This window comes from Homo sapiens, chromosome 8 (assembly GCF_000001405.40).
Source record: "Homo sapiens chromosome 8, GRCh38.p14 Primary Assembly".
Lineage (NCBI taxonomy): Eukaryota > Metazoa > Chordata > Mammalia > Primates > Hominidae > Homo > Homo sapiens.
The window spans coordinates 132,679,057-132,696,504 of NC_000008.11; the positions used below are offsets into that span (position 1 = coordinate 132,679,057).

The window sequence follows — 17,448 nt, forward strand, 5'->3', positions numbered from 1 at the left end:
AACCCTCAAGCAGGTCATATTGTCATGAATATATTACAGATTAGGAAACTGAAGCCCAGTGATATTATTTTACTAAAGCATAGTGAATCAGAATTTTGTGCCTAAACCTTAATTCTATACTGCATCATTTTTTTAGACTGAGAGCTACTCGAGGGCAGAGAGGGAATTTTGTTATTGTTGTTTGTTTGTTTCCATCCCTGAATCCTAGCTCTCGCAAAATTCCTGACACTTATTGGGTGCTCAGTAAATATTTGTTGAATGATTGAATGGAGGAGTCAGTGAGCCAATTTCTTCAAGAGCTTGGCTGTCTTTGGTGTAAGGCCTACATCTTGTCACTTCAGTAGGATCACCAACCACAGAGGTGTCCCTGTTGTAAAGGAATCTAGCAGGCTTACCAGGAAGTGTACCTCATTCTCTGGTTATTGGACTGTTCTTTTTCTTGGGACCTTTTCACCAAAATCTAGGATAAGATCTGGTTCCAGGGGCAAGGTCTTGACAGATTGTCCTGACACTCTGGTGGAGCAGTGTTTGGCTCTGTGTTCCCACCCAATTCTCATCTTGTAATGCCCATAATTCCCACGTGTTGTGGGAGGGACCTGGTGGGAGGTAATTAAACCAGGGGGTGGGTCTTTCCCTTTCTGTTCTCGTGATAGTAAATGGATCTCACAAGACCAGATGGTTTTAAAAGTGGGAGTTTCTCCGCACAAGCTTTTCTCTTTGCCTGCTGACATCCACGTAAGACATGACTTGCTCTTCCTTGCCTTCTGCCATGATTGTGAGGCCTCCACAGCCACGTGGAGCTGTAAGTCCAGTTAAACCTCTTTCTTTTGGACATTGCCCAGTCTCAGGTATGTCTTTATCAGCAGCATGAAAACAGAATAATACAAGCAGAGAAAAGCTTTGGATGATAAAGCAGGGAAATCAGCAATATCTTCTTTGCAGTTTGTCATAGGCCAGGCTGGCTGGTTATGATGTGTCCTTCCTCAACCCAACATCACAGTCACTGTGTTTCTTAGAAACAGAGGACCCAGGGGGTATGAAGGACATGTGTACAATGTGCTGTGATTGTCACAGTCCACTGACAGGGAGGACAACTGGGAAATCACGATGTGACAGCTCTAAGTAAAGTCAAGTTCATTTCACTCAAAGTGGATGAAAGAGTTTAAAGAGTTGTGGTGTGTGTCTGTTTATGCAAATCATTGTTCCAAATAGACTTATTTCTTTGGCTGCTGGAACTATAGCAAGATGAGCTATGCTTCCTGAAAAAACAGGTGTGACATTTTGTGTATACAAGTAGAAAAAATAAATCTTAAAGAGAGTGTGTGTGCTTTTTTTTTATTCCAGTAACAGCAAAATAGTCCTCCTACTTCTTTTATGCTGGATAAATTCTAGGGACATTTGCCTAGAAAGCAATTTAGTTCTTTTTATTTTCATTTTAACTTATATAATTTCTTATTTTTTTATGATATGTAACCAATATTGTGACTAGAATTCCACCATACTTTGCATTTATTTTTCTTCAGAAAAGTTTCTACATTGCAACTTTATGAAAGGTAAACCAAGCTGCCAAGTTTACCAGCACGACTACAAGTCTCAGTTCCTTCCTTTCATTGTCCTGTTCCCTTATCCCTTTTTCCTTACCCCTTTCCCCTCCTCTCTTCCCTTCCTTCCTTTCTTTTTTACCCTCCCTTCTTTCCTTCTCTCCTTGGTTCATTTCTTCCCTCCTTCCTTCTTTATTTCCATCAGCATGTATTTATTGAGTACCTTCCATATACCAGGCACCTTGAGGACTAATTGGCACATTACATGTAAAACCCTTAGAAGAGTATTTGACATGTAGAAAGTACTCAGTATGAGCTATTAGGTTGGTGCAAAAGTAATTGCAGTTTTTGCCATTTAAAAGTAATGGCAAAAACCGCAATTAGTTTTGCACCCAATAACTATTCCTTTTTTTTTTTTTTTTTTTTTTTTGAGACAGAATTTCACTCTTGTTGCCCAGGCTGGAGTATAATGGTGCAATCTCGGCTCACTGGAACCTCCACTTTCTGGGTTCAAGTGATTCTCCTGCCTCAGCCTCCCAAGTAGCTGGGATTAAAGGCATGCACGACCACGCCTGGCTAATTTTGTATTTTTAGTAGATATGGGGTTTCTCCATGTTGGTTAGGCTGGTCTTGAACTCCTGATATCAGGTTATCCACCTGCCTTGGTCTCCCGAAGTGCTGGGATTACAGGCGTGAGCCACCACACCCAGCCAACCATTCCTTTTTTTTTTTTTTTTGGCAAACAAAGCAATCCATAGATGGTTACCCTAAAAAGTGGGTACAATTACTGTCTCCATCTTACAGATAAAGAAATTCAGTCTGCTTTCTACCAACCTAGTGAAAAAGATCTGAAAAAATCAAACTTAACTGTATCGCTTGTGACAGAGAAGACTGGAGGAGGGCAGCATTACTTAAGTTGATCTACTGCATCCAACATAAGGGGTAACTTCTTTTTCCATCTGGAAGAGAAGTGGAATATAAAGAAAGCACTGGAAAATTCCAGTGCTTTCTTTATCCATATCTATAGGTATAAATTTGTATTGTTGGATATGAATTCTCCAAACATCAGACATTCTAGTAATCAAGTGGAAGTAGAAAAGCATGTCTCAAAATCGAAGATGAAATTAATTTTAAATGATTGTCTTAATTTATTTGTGCAAACTTCTGCCCATCTCCATTAGTTTAAGAAAGGCAAGAGGTGATGTTTTAGTTAGGACTTTACTGATTTGAATATACTCAGGAGAGAATAACTAGGATATCCTACTCCACCGTTGAGGGCTCAAGTATAGGAGTCTCAAGCAAATTGCTTACCCTCATTGTTTTTCAGTTTCCTCATCTATAAAATGGGTAACACTAAAGTGTTTAGTTGATTGAATTTTGCCAAGATTTAAAGGGATGGTGTGTAAAATGTTTGCCCATAGTAAGTGCTTGATACATCTCAGTTTGAGATGTGAAGGTTTTAAAACATGACAACAAATTATTATACATTCTTTTCAATTGAAAGATGGTGCCTGTTCCCCTTCCCTTGAATCTGGATGTGCTTCTGACCACTTTGACCAATAGAGTACAAGGGAAGAAACACTAAGTCATCTGCCAAACTAGTTCATAAAAATCCTTGCAGCTTCCACTTTGATTAACTCTGGTTCTTGGACCCCTGAGGCTCCATGTTAAAGTCTAACCACCCTGAGGCCGCCGTGCTGGAGAAGCCAATGTAGATGCCCCCTCCAACCCAGCCCCAGCCTTTCAGCCCTTCCTGCCAAGGCACCAGACACATCAGTGATGCTGTCTTGGACTCTCTGAACCATTTCATCCATCAGCTTAATATCCCTGAATGACTGACCACTGTCAATGCCACAAGGAACAGAAAAATCATCCAGCTGATCCCTGCTAGTATTTCTGACCCACAGAATCATGAGATATAGTCAAATATCTGTTTTAAATATGGGACTAATTTTAATACACTGACTGACTTGGGAAGTGAACAAGCACCTTTCACTACTGTGTTTAATAGGATGGGTCAGTAGTATGGACACATTACTCTTCCAGTAGAAGGTGACACTTTATTTAGGTAACAAACTAGTGTCTTAGTTATTTTGTGTTGCTATAAAGTAATACATGAGGCTGTGTAATTTATAAAGAAAAAATACTTATTTGGTTCATGATTCTGATGGCTGAAAAGTTCAGGGTTGGGCATCTACATCTGGTAAGGGCTTCAGGCCGCTTCCACTCATGGCAGAAGATGACGGGGAGCTAGCATGTGCAGTGACTACAAGGCAAGAGAGGAAGCAAGAGAGACAAGGCTTTTTTTAACAACCAGCTCTCTCTGGTATTAACAGAGTAAGAATTCACTCACCCCCAAGGTAAGGCACTCATCTATTTATGAGGGATCTGCTCCCATAACTCAAACACCACCCATTAGGCCCCACCTCCAACAATGGGAATCAAATTTTAAAAATGAGGTTTGGAGGGGAAAAAATCAAATCCACATAATAGCAGATGGATTCCATGGTATTTGAGCTTTGATTTAGCAGCCTAAGTCTTCTATTCAAATCCTAATATATAGGACAAATAAAAAAGGATCTTTTCTGGTTGAAGCAGGGGTCAATGACCATGAGGACCAACCTGAGGAGAACTGAGACAATCTAATCAATGACTTGTCTATGTAGACCTGGGAAAAGAGAAGTATTGGATTTTGTTTGATGTTGAAGGTGGAACACATGAACCCAGCTCATGAGATACTCCACAAATTAGGGTTGGAAAATCATTGAGCTAAAGACTCCCTTTGGCCCCCTCTGAGCCCATTGAGGCACGTCCTCAATGTGACCAGAACGACCCAGCCAGCACAGCCTCCCACCAGGTCAGCTGCTCTTGTATGGGCACCTGGAATAACATGCCCTCCCTCTTCCTTTTTGGTCTTCTGGCCTGTTTTCTTATTTGCCCCTCAGTTTAGCCTTCTCCTTTGCCTCCCAGCTCCATCCTGCCAGTGCCCCTGGGGGTGAAGGCAGCTGTTGTTTCTGGCCCCTACACAGCCTCAGTGGGAGGAGACCAAGCCTTCAGGTTCTTCTGCATAGAGTATCTCTAACACAAAATGAAATCTTGCTGCTATTGATAGTTTCTCATGTGTTACTTTTGAAGTAGAAATTTGCCATGTTTGGTACCCAGCATCTTTTCTCCTGGATCTCTTTGGAGGGCAAGTCCAGGTGCCAGTTTTCTGCTGGAGAAGCTCAAGTGACCCCTCCCTCCTATTTTCCTCCCACCCCTGGAAGAATGGCCAGTGTGAGAATACATGACCTTACTTTGCTCATATGGTGAGGTCATGTAAGTCTTCTCTTTAGGGAACACCTGTAGACAGAAAGATTAGTGGAGTCATCCCCATGGCATCCTGGCCAGACTGTTTTACCTGGTTGATATGCCTCTTGATTCTACCTTCTTGGCACTCCATGGCACCCCCTGTTTTTGCCTATTGCAAGCTTTGGTGCAGCTACAGCAAATTTTTAAGACCAACTACAAAGTTTTAGAGGGCACTTTCTCCATACAACACTTCCCTCACTTCTGACACCAACTGCAGTTTCAGGGGTTTTGAAAAGCCACCCTCAGTTTCATCAGTTCACTAGATGAACTCACAGAACTTCCTGGAAGTTGTTACAGAAACAGCTACAGTTTATTAAAGAAAAAGGATGTAGATTAAATCAGCCAAATGAAGAGATATATGGGATAGAGTCCACATTACTCTCCTAGCACCAATGTTTGATCACATGTATGGAGCACTGCCAACCAAGAGAGCTCACCTGAGTTTCATTGTCCAGACTTTTTACTGGGGTTTCATCACATAGGTATAATTGATTGACTGATTGATAGTCCATGTAGTTAATCTCAATCTCTTGGTTGATTGATATCATGTGATCCAAAGCCCTCACCCCCCACACTAAGTTACATGATTGGTCTTTCTGGCATGGAAAATCCCCAACCTAAGACTACATGAGTCTGCTTAGCACCTGCCCTAGATCACATTGTTGGACTAACCACTGTGACCCAATGTCCCCAGATAAATAAAGACACTAGAGATTGCCTCCTAGAAACTGATGACAAAGGCCAGTCTTTCTCTTTGGTCAAGGACAAATTCTTTGCTACAAACCTACTCAGATTTCCATAATTCATGTGAGCTCCCCAGTATTCTTCTAATCCTTTTGATTCTGTTGCCAGGGTCATTTTCATTGCTAACAACAAAGAATGCTAAGTGATAAAACATTGATGTCCTATGATGCTAAAAAGTAGCACCCCCATTGTGAGAAGAGAAGAACCAAAGGGTGAAGGAAATGGAGAGTTCAATCCTTTCCCTCTTACCATGTGGTGTCTCATCCATTACACACATTTCCACACAATGAAGACCCTATTAATCCGAGAAGGGTGGTGTTCAGAGTTTTTACTTAGTTTATTTGCTTCAAGTCCGAGGTTTTTGTCATTTTCTGGTACTTCGTAGCAGACAAGTGGTAGCAGGTGCTAAAGGCCTAAAGAAATTATAACAGAAAAAAACTAAGAAACATATCCACTAATTTAATTTTCTCTGAGAAGTGAGTAAACAATAGCTTTATTCAGTTTTAGTGTTAGAACACCTGGGTCCAGCTCATAGAAAACGTGGTATCCACAAGATTATTATTTCAGAACCATTAAGTTCAACTAATTATGAATAGGGATGTGAGTACATGAAATCCACAAAAATTAAAACCATATCTCTGAACACATTAATCCTTTTTAATATAATCAACCAAGATAAACTTGAAATGAGGCCCCTGGGGAAATTGCCAGTAACTGCCAATTTTGCTAATGATAATGAGTTTATTTTAATTGCTAATATATTCCTAATTACTCTAGTTTTAAAATGTTTACTTCACTGTCAGTCGTCTTCTTTGATTTGAGTTTTTTGTGAGAAGACTTTGTCATATCAGTCAACCCTTCTCACGTTGGCTGGCATCTGCTAAAAATGATCTCACCTTTTTCTGTCACACAGCTCTGTTAGGCACCATTTGTCCAAAAGCAGAGAGAGGTCTTAGCCAGAATCTTCTACAGTTCACACTTGCCCCTTCCAGCTTAGAGAGAATCGTATTTTCAAGGCTTTCATTGCCTTAATGAAGAAGACTGACAATATTTATTCTGAGCTCTACTTTTAATCTAATTTTCCACCTGCGCTGTATCTCACCTACTTGAATATGTGTGTGTGTCCAAATAATTGTGTTTCAAGAACATGGTGTAGTTAGTGTAAAGATTTCTAATTTGGGTGGGCATAAGGGTCCCATTAATCCAATGACCCTTTTTTTTCCCCAGCAAATAGTATTGAGTCCCTGGGGGCTGGGAATAAAGTGGTAGCCAAGATTGAAAAGATTTTGATCATCCTGAAATTTCTATACTCATTCAGAGTGAACATACAATGAACGAGTCAACAAATAAATACCACAAGAAAAGACTGAAGATGATGATATGGGCTATGAAAGAAAAGTGGAGTGATGATAGAACGAGAGTGAAGAGCTTATTTGGGTAGTCAAAGAAGGTCATCAAATGTCATCTCTGAACGGATGACAATTGGAGTGAGACCTGAGAAGGAGAAGGAAACAGTTATGTGAAGAACAAAGGAAGACTTTTCCCAGAGAGAGAAAAATGCAAAAAATTATTAGACTGGGAGAGCCTGGTTTGCTCAAAGAACAGAAAAAGGAGCCCAACATGGTGAGGCAGGGGAGCAGGGAGGAATGGAAGGGTTGGTCAGGAAGCAAATAATCATGTTTGTAAGGAGACAAGGTGTCATTCCAAATGGGATGGGACATCTTTACATGGTTTAGAGATGATTTGTTCTCATTCACATCTTTAAAATATTGTTTTACTACACAATGCAGTATTTCCACAATACTGGATTGTGGAGTGCAGTATTCCAACACTACTGCATTGCGGAAACTGGATTATGCTATGGTGGTGGGTATGAGTGGAAAGGCTGGGAGGAGTGAGAGCAAGAAAGAAGCTTCTGCAGCAGACACCCAGGTAGATCATGAGTCAGCCGGACTAGGAGGATAGCAGTGGTGATAGAGGGAAGTGGGGATGTTTAGGACAGTTTTGAGAGAAGAGACCCTGGAACTTACTTTGAGAAAAGAGGAGGAATCAATGAAGCCTCCTACTTTCTTGCTGACTGTGTTTCCTGAAATGAAGATTGAAGGGGAAGAATGGAGAAGGAATGGATTTGAAGGTGTGTAAATAAAGATTTGGAGCATGTTAAGTTTTTGATGCCTGCCTCTGTCCTCCCACTGGCTCCTGTATTGCTACTATTATATGTAGCATTGATCACATTTGGCTTATTAACTATCCCATCACTAGTCTGTCTCTGCTGAACTGTGAACTTCATGATGACAGAAAACTTTGCTTTTTCCATTTTCACTTCCCCAGCACCATGCACAGTGCCTCACCCATAGAAGACACTCAATGAACCAGGAAACATTTGCTGAATGAATAATTAAATAAAAGAATACATGAAGGAGTCTACTCCCAGTTGTAGTCTAACTGTTGCAAAGCAGATATCAAGAAGGGAAAGCTAATAAAAATTACAAAGGATGATATACTGACAATATATTTAGATTTTGGCTATATATATTTACAGTTATTTCCATTTAGTGCCTGCTTACATGAGTGATCAAATATCAGAATGGAAATGATTCATTCAACATATAATTTCCAAACAGCCACTTTGTGCCAGGCACTCTTCTAAGCACTTGGGGGCATCAATGTATAACACAGAAAAAGATCTCTGCCCTTTGAAAGCTTACATTCTAGCAGAATAATGAAGTCATAATTATCCTGCTCTCCAGAGAGTCTTTTTTCTTATACCTTGATGATGCCAGGTGACTCTGCCTTCCCAGAGCAAGGGTTGCCTCATCTCATCGCTTCAGACAGACAGCTGTAACAGGTTCCGTCATCAGAAGGCGGACCCACACCTTCGTTGAGTTCTCACCAGGTGCTGCAAGCTTCCTGTGCATTCTCCTGTTTAATCCTCACCCATCGTGTGGTTGGCATTGTTGTTTCTGTTTTGCAAATGAGGAAATGGAAGTTTAAGGGATAAGTGACTTGCCCAAGGTAAGAGCTCAGGGCCTGAACTCAAATCTGCCTGACTCCAAAGCTCATGCTTTCAATCACTAAATTATGCTGCTTTTGGCTTTGATATTGACCTGCATTAACTGTATGGTAATTTACCACAGAGCCCATTACACAGCAACTGTGAAGCAGTCCCCCAGGAACTGCATGGTTTTCTTAGCTTTCTTGAGAGTATTTAAGCTAGATACAAATCATATAGGACATTAAATTACCGCTAAGTTAGGATACTAAGTTACTTCATGTAAACAATGAAGCAATATAAAAATTTAACATCCTGATATCTACTCCATTACCACTCATATTTGTAATTCTTTTTTTCTAATTCTTAATATCATGCAAATAATAAAGTTTTGGTTCAAATCTGGTTCAAATGCTGCGATAACAGCATTAATACATAGAGCCCTCATGACCTGATCACCTCATAAATGTCCCGGCTCTCAACACCGTTGCATTGAGGATTAAGTTTCCAACACAGCCACTTTGGGAGACACATTCAAACCACAGCAATTTCTCTTTCACACTTTAGATATTACCCAACCCAGTAATCTAGACATCTGGTTCCCTGTGGGGAATATTTTACACTCAGTATTGAGGACATATCTTGGCTCTGCCTACCTGGCATCCATTCTGTCTTCTGGTAACAGAACCCTGAATTTTCACGAAGGAGCTTTCCCTCTACTCTCCATGAGGGTTTGTATGGCTGACCCCACTCCAGGCTGCAGAAAAATACCCTCTCTAAGGCCTGGCCAATAACAATTCTGCCTTTCTTTAATGACAGTATTTGGTTCACGGGTGAACACATGACCCAAGCTGGGACAACAACTCAAATAATGACAACCAATGAGGGTCAAACCTGAGACTATTGCTAGAACTCTTAGGGACACTTATTTTCTCCTGAGGTTGTTGGCAGCTCTCTGACCACTGAAGTAGAGAAGCCTGCATGAGAATAAAGCCAACATATGGGAGAGAAGAACAAAAAGGTGGAGAGAGATCCCTGAGGACATGGTGTGCACATCTGGATCAAGCTGTACCTGAAAGTCACTCTTGGACTTTTTGTATATATGAGATCTTAATGTTCCTTCCCTTAAATTAGTTTGAGTTGGATGTCACTAACTTGCAACTGACAGATCCCTTATTAATATACTCAGAATCACTTACGTTAAAAATACCGTTTAAAAGACTGGTGGATATTTATTCTAATTCATGTAAGGAAACTAAGAGTGTTTTGCCAGTTTCCTTAGGAGTTTAATTCAAGATAATTTAAAATAGCATTGCCTGTTTTTTCTAGAAGATTTTGAATCTGTCTCAGAAATTGTTCTTTATTTTCTGTTGTATAGGCTACTAGGAGGTATTTGTGCCTGGGTGATGTGATTAGAGAGGAAAGATGGCACATGTCACAAAATCTACAGTTACTCCTTGTTCTCCAACTGATGAGTTGTAGAGCAAGTCCTTGAGTAGCCTCTTTTGTAAAATGGGATGATAATAAAACTTATTTTTAGGAGCTGGTTGGACATTAGAGTATTTCTATTGACGGGTTTTAGAAGCTATGAAGTACTTACGAATGTCAGCTGCCCTTATTTGTACTTGAAATCATAGAGATGGGGGGAACTAGAGTTTTGGTGCCCAAACCTGATTATCAGAATCATCTGGGGTTTTGCTTTCTTTGTTTATTGACTTTAACCAATTTAAATTGATATATGCTTATTATATCATGTCAAAAATACAAAGATACACAAGGAAAAAGTTAATAATATCACCTCAGCAATTCAGTGTCATTCCCTGAAATGAAATGAACTGTATTGTTTCTTGTGTATCTTCCACACTCTTTTTATTGTTTTTATTACAATAGGAATATACTATATACATTAATTTAAAATTTGCTTCTTTAAAAAATTAAAATATACTATGACCATTCTCTGTGACAAGAAATAGTGATTTGACTCATATACATATATGTGTGTGTGTATGTACGTGTGTGTGTGTGTGTGTGTGTATGTGTATATATATACAGAGAGAGAGACAGTGTCTCACTCTGCCACCCAGGCTGAAGTGCAGTGGCACAGTCATGGTTCACTATAGCCTTATTCAAGCAATCCTTTGCCTCAGCCTCCCAAGTAGCTGGGACTATAGGCTCGCACCATTGCATCCTGTGAATATTTTTTTTCCTTTTTGTAGAGATGGAGTCTCACTGTGTTGACCAGTCTGTTTTCAAATTCCTGGCCTAAAGTGATCTTTCTGCTTCAGCCTCCCAAAGGGCTGGGATTACAGGCATGAACCACACACTTGACTCATATTTTTAAAAACTGCTTAATATGCATTAGTTTGAGTTATGTTACCTGCATTATTTTTAATTAAATTTTAATTTTTAGATTTTCAGTTTGAGATTTTTAGAAAAATTGCAAAGATAGTGCAGAGAGGTCCCATTATATAGGTATCCTGTTTCCTCTGTTATTAAAATCTTACATTGGTGATATGGTTTGACTCTATGTCCCCATGCAAATCTCATCTTGATTTGTAATCCCCACATGTCGAGGAAGGGAGTTGATTGGATCATGGGGCAGTTTCCCCCATGCTGTTCTCGTGATACTGAGTTCTCATGAGATCTGATGGTTTTATAAGTGTTTGGAAGTTCTTCACTCTTCTCTCTCCTGCTGCCTTGTGAAGAAAGTGTCTGCTTCCCCTTCCACCACGATTGTAAGTTTCCTGAGGTCTCCCTACCCTTGCCGAACAGTGAGTCAATTAAACTTCCTTTGTTTATAAATTACCCAGTCTCAGGAAGTATCTTTATAGCAGTGTAAAAATGGACTGATACAATTAGCATACTATATTTGTTACAATCAAATAATCAATGTTGATACATTATTATGAAATAAACTCCACATTTTATTTAGATTTCCTTAGCCATTACCTAATGTCAGTTTTGTATTTCAGGATCCAACCCAGGTTACCACATTTCATTTAGTCCATCTCCTTAGGCTCCTCTTCGCCATGACAGTTTCTCAGGCTCCTCTTGTTTTTGATCATTTATTTGCCAGTTTTACAAAGTACTGGTTAAGTATTTTGTAGAATGTCCTTCAGTTGGGATTGACTGCTGTGTTTCTTGTGATTAAACTGGTTAATGGGTTTCTGAGAGGAAGACTGCAGAGATAAAGTGCCATTTTCATAACATCACGGGTATTGGCCACATGATGTGTCACTGCTTACGTTGGCCTTGATCACCTGGCTAAAGTAGTATTTGTCAGATTTCTTCTCTGTAAAGTAACTCTTTCCACCTCCCTCCTCCCTGCCTCTTTTCCATTCTATATTCTTTGGAAGAAAGTCACTATGTGTAGCCCACACTTAAGGAGTGGGAAGTTGTGCTGCACTCCTCAGTGTGTAGTATCTGTAGATTATTTGAACTTCTTCTCCATAGGAGAAGAGTTTATTCTTCTCCATTAACTTAGTTATTTCATTACTTATTTATATCAGTATAGACTCATGGATATTTACTTTATACTTTGGGTTAGAATCCACTATTATTTTAATTTATTGTTCAAATTAGTTCATCTTTGACCATTAGAAACTCTTTCAGTTGGTTTCTAGGTCATTTTGACCTATACCTGTCATTATGAGTTTGGTTATTTGTTTTGTTTTGATCACTTCCTTAATTTCTGGCACTACAAGACAGCCCAGGCTCATCTTGTATGTTTCATATCTCCAGTCCTAGAATCAGTTATTCTCCAAGGATCCTTGGTTTCTTTCATTGGAGAATGGTATTGGAAACCAAGATGGGTTCTCACACTGCTAAAAAGACATACCTGAGACTCGGCAATTTATACAGAAAAAAGTTTCACTGATTCACAGTTCTGCATGGCTGGGGAGGCCTCAGGAAACTTACAATCATGGTAGAAGGGGAAGCAGGCACAGTCTTACATGGCAGCAGGTGAGAGAGAGACTTTTTTTTAAATAAACTACCATTTATGAAACCATCAGATCTGGTGAGAATTCACTCATTATCATGAGAACAGCATGGGGGAAACCACCCCCATCATCCAGTCACTTCCCACCAGGTCTCTCCCTAAACACCTGGGGATTACAATTCAAGGTGAGATTTGGGTGGGGACACAAGCCTAACCAGAGGAAGGCCCATGTGGCTGGAGGATTATGAACAAGGGGGATGAGTGGTTTTAGATGAGACTACAGAGCAGACCACGTGGGAGATGCAGCCGCCTCGCCTATGATCCATATCAAAATGTTTGGAGATCATTTTTTGGAACATGGAGAAACAAACCCATGGTCTAAGTAGAAGAGTGATGTAATATAATTTACTTTGAAAGAGACTCTTCTGGCTGCTATATGAAAAAGAGAGTAGTAGGGGGCTGGGTGAGAAAGTAAGAGTAGAAGTAGGGAGACCAGTTTGGAGGCTAATGATACTGTTTTACGGAAGTAGTGACAGAGAAAATAGTGACAAGTAGTGACTGTTGTATAAACTGGGGTGGGGGGTAGAGAGCCAACAGGGCTTCCTGATTATTTGATTGGAGGTTAAGGTAAAGAGAGAACTCAAGGATGACCACCCAAGTCATGGAAATGAACTAATTTCCTTTTAAAAAACAATTTGTATCATAAATATGCCTAACTCTCCCAGGGACGTTAGTCATTCAATTCCCCTGCTGGGCTTGAGTTTCCTCATCAATAAAAGAGGAGGTTGGATCAGATCATTTTAGAGTGTCCATCAGCCTGATGAGCTTCCAAGCTGGCCAACCTGCAGAACTGCATGCAGCCAGGCACAGCTCTTAAATTGTTAGCACTGAGAGATTTTGATCCAGGAGTAAGGAGTCAGTGGTGAAGACAAATGCACGCAGAACAAGTGGTATTTCTGACATGTAGGTATTGATATAGCCTAGTCATTAGGCAGCCAAAATCCAGCTCTGACCCAGTGCCTTGTGAAGGTGCTCAAACCCTTGAACCACTTCTTCACCCTGTGCAGGTCTTCTATCTCCAACCTGACCCTCTCCCAATTCCCAGCTACCTATGTTCCCAGGTCCATTCGCAACCTCCACCTTGCCAAGGGCAAGCATTACTCATTCCTGACTTTCCTTTCCTCCCTGTTTCCCTGAGGGGAGGAAAGTGTCCATTTGAACCAATCGTGTATGATGGCAGAAGGAATAGAAACATGCTAAGCTGATTACAACACATGAGCTTATTATAGCTCAGAACCAAAAAAGCATTCCTGATTTCTTCTCATCTACAAATGCATGTATCTATAAGGAGCAGCTTCCATCAATGGAAAATGGACACATCAACAACTCTAGGACAGAACCACATCACAACCTGGTGACTCCAAGTCCATCATGCTGGTGAGTGAGCCAGGTGGGGACGAAGAATGCAGGTGGCTGCAGCAGCAGGCTGGAAGTGCCCTCCCTCTGATGACTGCAGAACCAGGAAGGAGAATGAAGGGCAATGGAGAAGGGGACCCAGGGACAGAGAGAAAGCAAGACATGGGAGATGAAAAAAAGCCACAGATTCAGAGTGAGCATATGCACACAGGAACAAAAGACAACGGAAAAATGGAGGGAGAAAGCATTTCACTACTATTGTTTCATTCTTTCCATATGGACAGATGCCATTGCTTTATTCAACAAATATAGAATACATACATGTGTATGTGCATATTTATGTATATCCACAATACGAATGTATGTAAGTATATAAAAACATGTTTTATGTAAATGTAATGTATGTGAGTGTGTGTGTGTGTGTGTGTGTGCGTGTGTATATTACATAGTTATACTAGGTACTGGGCACTGTTCTTGGTGTTGGAGATACAGCAGTAAGACAACTAGAACAAAAAAGAGTGCCTGCCCTCAAGAAGCTTATATTAATACAGGAAGATATAGCCAACTAATAAACAGGTAATTTCATGGCATGTCAGGTACTACTAAGTGCTATTGGGGTGGGGGAAAGCAAGCAGAGGAAGGAGATGTGATTGCTGGGAGGGTTGCTTCCTTATTTAGGAGAAGGTGACATTTGAGAATGGACAGTATGGATGTCTTGGGAGACAGTTGCAGACAGGGGAGCAGCAAATGGCAATGCCTGATGAGGAGAGTGCTCAAACATGCCCAGGGAAGGGCATGGTGACCCACCTGCTTAAGTGAGTATTGGATGAGGACAGAGATGGAGCTGGAGCCACAGCATGTGGAGACTTGAAGGCTTTGAGAACTTTGGCTTTTCCTTGAGGGACATGGGAGCAATTGGAAGATTTGAGCAAAGGAATGTTATACTCTGATTTTTATTATAACGGGATCACTGTGGCTACTATGTTGACAGTATGCTCTAGGAGCAAAGATCAGAAGCAATGACATCAGCTGAAGAGGCAATTGCAGTAAATTAAACAAGAGGGGATAATAACCTTGAAGTTGGTAAGCAGGGGTAAGCTATATTTTCAAGGTGGACCCAACTGAAGGATCCTGTGCATCAGATGTGGATATGGAAATTAATATAGAAAAGAAATTAGAGTGGATATAGGTTGTAAGAGAAAGAAAGGAATTGTTGTGGACTCAGTTGTGTCCTCCCACCCAAATTTGTACAGAGTTAATGAAATTAAGGTAAGATCATCAGTGTGGGCCTAATCCAATATGACTGGTGTCCTCATAAGAAGGGGAAAAATTGGACACAGACACAGACACATAAGGGATGTGAAGATGCAGGGAGAAGATGGCCATCCACAAGCCAAGAGGGGAGGCCTCAGAAGAAACCAACCCTGCCAACACCTTGATCTCAGACTTCTAGCCTCCGTAACTGTGAGAAAATACAGCTTTGTTGTTTAAGCCACTCAGTTTATAATACTTTGTTACAGCAACCCTAGCAAACTAATACAGGGCAAAGATGAATCCTAAATTTTTAATTTGTAAAATTGAATGATGCCACTGCCATTAACTAAGATAGTGAAGACAGTAGAGGGACAGATTTGGAGGAAGTGGGAACTACAAACTCTATTTTGGACATGTCAAGTTTGAGATATGTCTTAGCCATCCAGATGGAAATTTTGAGAATTAACTTTGGCATATGCATGAGAAACAGAGGTCCAGGCTGGAGATCTAGTTGGAGGAGTCATGGTTTACAGAGGTGTTTACAATCGTGAGTATGGATGGCACCACTCTAGAAGTGAGTTTAGGCAGAGAAGAGGTCTGGCATACTCCAAAATTTAAATGCTGAAAACATGTGGAAGAATTACCAAAAGAGATATAAAATGAGTTTGGTAAATTGAGAAGCCAAGTGGGAAAAGTGCTTTAAGAAGGAGGGAGTCATTACTTCAAATACTGCTAGGTCAAGTCAACATGTGGACTAAGAACTGACCATTGGATTTAACAACATTGAAGGTTGTTGACGTCTTTAACATGGGCTACTTGCATGGACGGTAGGAGTCAAATCCTAATTGGGGTGGGTTTGAGAAAGACTTGAAAGAGAAGAAATGGAGACAAATAAGCACAGAACTCAAATCTACCAAGGAATTTTGCTGCTACTGTAAGCAGAGGAATGGAGGAGGGGAATTGTTCTAAGCAACGAAGAATCAAAAGAGGTCTTATTTAAGACAGGTATTATTACAACACGCTGGCATGCTGCTGCTGTAGGAGGGAGGGGACAATTCCTGGAGCAATTTTTATAAGTAGATAAGAGAGGGTGGGCTGCAATGCATGAGTGGTAAATTGGCCTTAGACAGCAGCAAGAACTTTCCTTCTATAGAAACAGGAAGGAAGGCAGAGTAGGAACAGATGCCCGTAGGTGGGATATATGAGGTGGCAATAGCTAGCTGTATCTTCATAATTGTTTCTATTTTCTCAGTAAAATAGAAACGAAGGACATCATCTAAGAATGAGACTGGGCGAGGAGGTACTGAAGCTTTGAGGAGAGAGGATAAGTATGAAATAATCACCCGGGGAATGGGAGAGTGAATTAATAGGACTTAGTAAGATGATTGCGAGGCACCACCAAACACACCATGAGGCTGTGGTTATGAATTCAAAGAAAGGCCCGGATGTGTGTTTTTTTCACAAGGCATGTTTAGCATGTGGGTGAAGCTGAATAATAGTTAGAGTATTCGATTCAACCAGAATTAGAGTTTAACCCGGAAAGTACAATGAATGAAGAGAGATACAAGGGAATGATTTTATTGACAGCACATGGAATCTAAGCTGAATAAGAACACAAAGGAATATATGATTGAGGATAAGTGAAAAGGTGTCAGGACCAGTGGAATTTGATCCCAGTCATTGAAAAATTATTGGGAGAAAGAATGAGCTGGAAAGATGGTGATGGTTAAAAGTGGAATGTTCGATATTGATGGCATGGGGGAGGTGCAGTTATGGGAATGACAAGGTCCAGGCTTGACTGTGAGTGCATATGCCTAACTTGGGGTTAGGATACAAAGTTATAAGCAGGAAAGAAGCAGAGAAAGTGGGTTGCCAGGAAAAATGCACATGAAAAGATAATCAACATCATTATCCATCAGGGAAATACAAATCAAAACCACAATAATATACTACTTCACATCCACTCAGAGTTGGCTAGAATAGAAAAGATAGATATTATGAAGCATTGGAGAGGATGTGGAGAAACTGGAACAATCACACGCTGTGGCTGAGAATACATAATAGTACACTCACTTTGAAAAGCAGTTGGCATTTTTTTTTAAGTTAAGCACAAATTGACCATATGACCCAGCAATTTCATTCCTAGGTATCTCATAAAGTCATGTATGTGAATTTCATAGCAGCATTTTTCATAACCAAAGGGTAGAAAC

General features: G+C 40.4%; 1 protein-coding gene across 5 annotated transcripts in view, besides 1 other annotated feature; it reads right to left on the reverse strand.

Annotated features, from left to right (window-relative positions):
• DNAAF11 (dynein axonemal assembly factor 11) overlaps positions 1 to 17,448 on the reverse strand; it is a 132,498-nt gene that overhangs the window by 108,641 nt on the left and 6,409 nt on the right. For all 5 annotated transcript variants that reach the window (XR_007060728.1, XM_011516950.3, XM_006716538.4 and 2 more), the window contains exons 2-3: positions 8,406 to 8,599; positions 5,886 to 6,049 (exon numbers count right to left, since the gene is read on the reverse strand). Coding sequence is in view for 4 of the 5 variants with exons in the window: in XM_011516950.3 (XP_011515252.1) it covers positions 5,886 to 5,913 (28 nt within the window). In the remaining variant the exon portion in view is untranslated. The remainder of the gene's footprint in view (positions 1 to 5,885; positions 6,050 to 8,405; positions 8,600 to 17,448) is intronic.
• Positions 8,344 to 8,870: an enhancer, noted in NCBI's record as "OCT4-NANOG hESC enhancer chr8:133699646-133700172 (GRCh37/hg19 assembly coordinates)". NCBI's record gives its function as "activates a minimal SCP1, AML or CMV promoter by ChIP-STARR-seq in primed H9 embryonic stem cells {active_cell/tissue: H9 hESC(primed)}" and the evidence as "EXISTENCE:reporter gene assay evidence [ECO:0000049][PMID:30033119]".